Raw genomic sequence first — 6,914 nt, forward strand, 5'->3', positions numbered from 1 at the left:
CACACTGCTTTGAATGCGTCCCAGAGATTCTGGTATGTTGTGTCTTTGTTCTCATTGGTTTCAAAGAACATCTTTATTTCTGCCTTCATTTCGTTATGTACCCAGTAGTCATTCAGGAGCAGGTTGTTCAGTTTCCATGTAGTTGAGTGGCTTTGAGTGAGCTTCTTAATCCTGAGTTCTAGTTTGATTGCACTGTGGTCTGAGAGATAGTTTGTTATAATTTCTGTTCTTTTACATTTGCTGAGGAGAGCTTTACTTCCAACTATGTGGTCAATTTTGGAATAGGTGTGGTGTGGTGCTGAAAAAAATGTATATTCTGTTGATTTGGGGTCGAGAGTTCTGTAGATGTCTATTAGATCCGCTTGGTGCAGAGCTGAGTTCAATTCCTGGGTATTCTTGTTGACTTTCTGTCTCGTTGATCTGTCTAATGTTGACAGTGGGGTGCTAAAGTCTCCCATTATTAATGTGTGGGAGACTAAGTCTCTTTGTAGGTCACTGAGGACTTGCTTTATGAATCTTCGTGCTCCTGTATTGGGTGCATATATATTTAGGATAGTTAGCTCTTCTTGTTGAATTGGTCCCTTTACCATTATGTAATGGCCTTCTTTGTCTCTTTTGATCTTTGTTGGTTTAAAGTCTGTTTTATCAGAGACTAGGATTGCAACCCCTGCCTTTTTTTGTTTTCCATTGGCTTGGTAGATCTTCCTCCATCCTTTTATTTTGAGCGTATGTGTGTCTCTGCACGTGAGATGGGTTTCCTGAATACAGCACACTGATGGATCTTGACTCTTTATCCAATTTTCCAGTCTGTGTCTTTTAATTGGAGAATTTAGTCCATTTACATTTAAAGTAAATATTTTTATGTGTGAATTTGATCCTGTCATTATGATGTTAGCTGGTGATTTTGCTCGTTTGTTGATGCAGTTTCTTCCTAGTCTCGATGGTCTTTACATTTTGTCATGATTTTGCAGCGGCTGGTACCGGTTGTTCCTTTCCATGTTTAGCGCTTCCTTCAGGAGCTCTTTTAGGGCAGGCCTGGTGGTAATAAAATCTCTCAGCATTTGCTTGTCTGTAAAGTATTTTATTTCTCCTTCACTTATGAAGCTTAGTTTGGCTGGATATGAAATTCTGGGTTGAAAATTCTTTTCTTTAAGAATGTTGAATATTGGCCCCCACTCTCTTCTGGCTTGTAGGGTTTCTGCCGAGAGATCTGCTGTTAGTCTGATGGGCTTCCCTTTGAGGGTAACCCGACCTTTCTCTCTGGCTGCCCTTAACATTTTTTCCTTCATTTCAACTTCGGTGAGTCTGACAATTATGTGTCTTGGAGTTGCTCTTCTTGAGGAGTATCTTTGTGGCGTTCTCTGTATTTCCTGAATCTGAACGTTGGCCTGCCTTGCTAGATTGGGGAAGTTCTCCTGGATAATATCCTGCAGAGTGTTTTCCAACTTGGTTCCATTCTCCCCATCACTTTCAGGTACACCAATCAGACGTAGATTTGGTCTTTTCACATAATCCCATATTTCTTGGAGGCTTTGCTCATTTCTTTTTATTCTTTTTTCTCTAAATTTCCCTTCTCACTTCATTTCATTCATTTCATCTTCCATTGCTGATACCCTTTCTTCCAGTTGATCGCATTGGCTCCTGAGGCTTCTGCATTCTTCACGTAGTTCTCGAGCCTTGGTTTTCAGCTCCATCAGCTCCTTTAAGCACTACTCTGTATTGGTTATTCTAGTTATACATTCTTCTAAATTTTTTTCAAAGTTTTCAACTTCTTTGCCTTTGGTTTGAATGTCCTCCCGTAGCTCAGAGTAATTTGATCATCTGAAGCCTTCTCCTCTCAGCTCGTCAAAGTCATTCTCCATCCAGCTTTGTTCCGTTGCTGGTGAGGAACTGCGTTCCTTTGGAGGAGGAGAGACGCTCTGCGTTTTAGAGTTTCCAGTTTTTCTGTTCTGTTTTTTCCCCATCTTTGTGGTTTTATCTACTTTTGGTCTTTGATGATGGTGATGTACAGATGGGTTTTCGGTGTGGATGTCCTTTCTGTTTGTTAGTTTTCCTTCTAACAGACAGCACCTTCAGTTGCAGGTCTGTTGGAGTACCCTGTCAGTGTGCCCCTGCTGGGGGGTGCCTCCCAGTTAGGCTGCTCGGGGGTCAGGGGTCAGGGACCCACTTGTGGAGGCAGTCTGCCGGTTCTCAGATCTCCATCTGCGTGCTGGGAGAACCACTGCTCTCTTCAAAGCTGTCAGACAGGGACATTTAAGTCTGCGGAGGTTACTGCTGTCTTTTTGTTTGTCTGTGCCCTGCCCCCAGAGGTGGGGCCTACAGTGGCAGGCAGGCCTCCTTGAGCTGTGGTGGGCTCCACCCAGTTTGAGCTTCCCAGCTGCTTTGTTTTCCTAAGCAAGACTGGGCAATGGCGGGCGCCCCTCCCCCAGCCTCGCTGCCGCCTTGCAGTTTGATCTCAGACTGCTGTGCTAGCAATCAGTGAGACTCCGTGGGCGTAGGACCCTCCGAGCCAGGTGTGGGATATAGTCTCGTGGTGCGCCGTTTTTTAAGCCGGTCTGAAAAGTGCAATATTCGGGTGGGAGTGACCCGATTTTCCAGGTGCGTCCGTCACCCCTTTCTTTGACTCGGAAAGGGAACTCCCTGGCCCCTTGTGCTTCCCAGGTGAGGCAATGCCTCGCCCTGCTTCGGCTCGCACACGGTGCGCGCACCCACTGGCCTGCGCCCACTGTCTGGCACTCCCTAGTGAGATGCACCCGGTACCTCAGATGGAAATGCAGAAATCACCCGTCTTCTGCATCGCTCACGCTGGGAGCTGTAGACCGGAGCTGTTCCTATTCGGCCATCTTGGCTCCTCCCCTAATTTTTTGAATTTTTAGTAGACATGGGGTTTCACCGTGTTAGCCAGGATGAGGACTCACAAGTTTTTTATTTAATATACATATATAAAATTTTGACAATGTATTTTAAGCCTTCTTTGGGTAACCTTCTTGGAAGTAGAGATTCTTGAAGTAAGTTTGTGACAGTCAGCCAAGTTTCATTCTAGAAAAGCAAAATTTGGAACTCCCGCCACCAGTGTATTAAAATGCTTATGTTATAACTAGCTGTATTTTCAGGTGATTGAACGTTGTCAATATGATGGGTGAAATGTGGACACGGACTCGTGTGATTTCACAGTTTGTGTTTACTAATAAGCTTATGAGTTTATTTCCTATTTGTATTGGTTGGCTCTCCTGTTTTGGTTTTTGCTGTTGCTTTTGTTTGTAATGTTGATATTTTTCTTACTGAATTTTTTAAGGATACATACTTTGACATACAATTGTCCTTAAAATATCTTCCCTGCCAATTATAACTGTGCTGCAAATATTTACTAAAGTCCCTGCGGCTCTGCAGGGACTCTTCTCCAGTGCAGGAAATTTCTCTCATCTTACTTTTTGAAAATTATCAGGGGGATGGTCAGCCTCTCCCTCACCTATCTGAAACCTAAGCCCCTGGCTTCTTATTTATTTTTTGTAGCCTGATGTCCTGTGGAGACCAATGCCTCTGTAGGACTGACATCTAGCAGTTTATTTCTCTTTTATCCATGAATACTGTACGTCAAGTTAGCTTTAACTCTATGTTCTGGTCTTAGCGTAAGTCTTGTTTTAAGCTTCATTTTCCATATAGATACAATAGCCTTGGCTTCTGCTTGTCTTGGAGGAAGATTTTGACAAGCAGAAGATATATTTGAAAGAATATAGATTGCGAAGGCCTTTAAATTCCCAACTTGTATGTGTTCCATCTAGCTTAGCAGTCCTCAGGGTGTGGCCCAGGATCTTCCGGGGATTCCAAAGGTCCTTTCAGAAAGTCAGCAAGGTCAAAACTATTTTCATAATAAAACTAAGACATCATTTGTCTTTTTAACTCACACTTTTCTGATGAGCCTATGGTGGAGTTTTCCAAAGGCTACATGATTTGTGATACTGCATCAGATTAAAGGCAGATACACACATGAGAACCTAGCTATCTTCTATTCAATCAGTCATCAAATAAATTTTCAAAAATTCAAAGCAATAATACTATTTGACATAGTTTGGATATTTGTCCCTGCACAAATCTCATTTGGAATTGTAGTCCCAAAGGTTGGAGTTGGGGCCTGGTAGGAAATGTTTGGATTATGAGAGCAAATCCTGCATGACTTGGTCCTGTCTCTGTAATAGTGAGTTCTTCTGAGATATGGTCACTTAAAAGTGTGTGACACCTCCCCCGCAAGTCTCTCTTGCTTGCTCCTGCTTTTGCTGTGTGACTTGCATGATCCCATTTAACCTTCCTCCATGATCGTAAGCTTCCTGAGGCCTCTCTGGAAGCTGAGCAGATGCCATCTAAAGCCTGCAGAACCATGAGCTAATTAAAAGTCTTTTCTTTATAAATTACCCAGCCTCAGATATTTCTTTATAGCAAAGCAAAAATGGCCTAAGAAACTATTTCTTCTATTTCTTCTAACATGATTTTTTAAATAATTATTTTCAGAAAAATATGCTACTGACATTAACATTTAATTGGTTATTTTACATTTTTCTTTAAAATAAATTAATGGCTGGGTGCAGTGGGTCACACCTGTAATACAGAACTTAGGGAAGCTGAGGAGGGAGCAGAGCTTCAGCCCAGGAGTTCAAGACCTGCCTGGGCAACATAGCAAGACCCCATTCTCCACAAAAAGAGAAAAAGACAAAAATAAAATAAATTAACAAATATTTAATTTTGTCTCAACATTACTTTCTGATAGATAAAACCCACATGAACAAAAGCAGCAACAAGTAACAATTTTAAAACTAACAAAAAAAATTATGCTACCTCTCTGGTGAAAAGCCATTAATGACTATACTGTGTATAGAAATTTATTTTAATTGCCAGAACTCTATACTGCATGTGTTTGACTCATAACTGCGTGACCAACCTCTACCCAACTTACTTTCTTTCACTTCAAAGGTGTTATTGACATGACCTTCTTTCAGTTGCTCTAAGGTATCATTTCTTTTTCCAACAATTGGCCTTCACAGATATTGCTCCCTTAAATTCACATTAATGCCTTCTCAGGCTGTGTTGTATTATCTCATCTCTTAGGTCTCCTTGAAAAACACTTCCTTGGAGATACCATTCCTGTATTACTGCTTGTCCAATCTTTAATAACTTTCTCATTCTCTTTTCTAGCACCTTGTCTTTTTTCCATATAGAACTTATTAGTATAATAAGCATAGCAGAGTACAAAAGGGCTTGAGCTAAATTAGCTCCTGGCCATGGCAGGCAGATACTCCCCAGCAAGAGTCAGCTGTAGAGCTCACTTCACTTTCTGGTTTCCCATTCTCTGCCCAGACACTTAGGAACACTAATTTTCTTGTCATTTCCATGACAGATTCCAAAGTTCACATTTTAAATAAAATTTCTAGAATTTTATTTATTTTTAATGGAAGAGTTCTGAAATCCTGCCAGAGTCGATGCCCTATGTAGAGTCTTTCCAAGTACATTTATAGAGATTTGTATATTAGAGTGTAAGCATCAAAAGACAAGGGGAAAGCATTATATCACACACACACACACAAACATATACACACACTATTATCTAGCTGACAAAAACAGTGAGTTATTTGATCAAATATATGATATGATGATTTGTGATTATTTTAATATAAAAATTCAAATATTGATGTTTTCTGGACTGTGTTTAGTCCATTTTGCATTGCTATAAAGGAATACCTGAGGCTGGGTAATTTATAAAGAGAAGAGATGTATTTGCCTCATTGTTCTGAAGGCTGCACAAAAAGCATGGCACTAGTAGCTGCTTCTGGTGAGGGCCTCTGGGAGCTTCCAAACATAGTGGAAGGGGCAAGGGATTTGGCATGTCACATGTTGAGGGGAAGCGAGGGCTATGCCAGGCTCTTTTAAATGGCCAGCTCTCATGTGAACAAATAGAATGAGAACTCACTCATTATTGGAGGGAGGGCACCAAGTCATTAATGAGGGATCCACCCTCATGACCCAAACACCTTCAATGAGGCCCTACCTCCAATGCTGGGGATCATAGCTTGATAAGAGGTTTGGAAGGGGCAGAAATCCAACTTATATCACCTGTCTTCATCACCATCATCACACAACATTTGCTAATTGCCAAGTGCACTCAATTAAAATTTGGTAGAGGATGGGCTTATGTTGTTTTAAAGAAAGGGCTGTCAGATGTGATACCATTTTTTTCTGGATCTTGTAGACTTCTGGGACAGAGGTTGACTTGAATAAAATGTTAACAGAAGGGTTGGCTTAGAATATTGAAGGGAAGTAGACCATCCATTCAACAAAAGAAATGTGAAGGCACAACTAACAATGCAGTGATATCCTTAACTTGTTTGTAGATTGTTGAATTACTCAGGATGCTTAGAATTTATTAGGATTTCTATACCTTAAAAGAACAGGGAGTTATCAGAAAAAGTATCTATCACCAGAGTGGGGCACAGACCCAGTTTGAGAAGAGAATGTCTATATTCTACCCTCACTCCTTTTGTGTGTTCCTTAGTTTTCCATTCAAGAAAGTACGTAATAATGGAAGGTCAATGCTTTCGCGCCACCTGAAATCATGCTAGTTCTAGAGAAAAGTAAAAGATGTTATTAAAAATTATAGGCTTGATGCAGGAAATGCAGAAGAAGGGATGCATTGAGAAGAAAGGGCCTGCCCTGGTTCTCTAAGATGACACAATCTATGTGCTGCTGCTTCTTCATCTTTGGCTTTCCACAGTACAAAATTCTAGTTCTTTCTTATGCAAGCATACTGTAACCATTAAATAAAGAGGAAAGAAACCCTAAAAGCAGCTCAACAGTCAAAGACTGTTTATTTTGGAGAATAAACCTGAGAGGGGCTTCAGGCCGAGTTAGGTCAGAGGCACTCTCTC

General features: G+C 41.0%; 2 annotated features.

The window, feature by feature from the left end:
• Positions 1,971-2,584: an enhancer, noted in NCBI's record as "H3K27ac-H3K4me1 hESC enhancer chr18:37772736-37773349 (GRCh37/hg19 assembly coordinates)". NCBI's record gives its function as "activates a minimal SCP1, AML or CMV promoter by ChIP-STARR-seq in naive and primed H9 embryonic stem cells {active_cell/tissue: H9 hESC(naive and primed)}" and the evidence as "EXISTENCE:reporter gene assay evidence [ECO:0000049][PMID:30033119]".
• Positions 2,585-3,197: an enhancer, noted in NCBI's record as "H3K27ac-H3K4me1 hESC enhancer chr18:37773350-37773962 (GRCh37/hg19 assembly coordinates)". NCBI's record gives its function as "activates a minimal SCP1, AML or CMV promoter by ChIP-STARR-seq in naive H9 embryonic stem cells {active_cell/tissue: H9 hESC(naive)}" and the evidence as "EXISTENCE:reporter gene assay evidence [ECO:0000049][PMID:30033119]".

This window comes from Homo sapiens, chromosome 18 (assembly GCF_000001405.40).
Source record: "Homo sapiens chromosome 18, GRCh38.p14 Primary Assembly".
Lineage (NCBI taxonomy): Eukaryota > Metazoa > Chordata > Mammalia > Primates > Hominidae > Homo > Homo sapiens.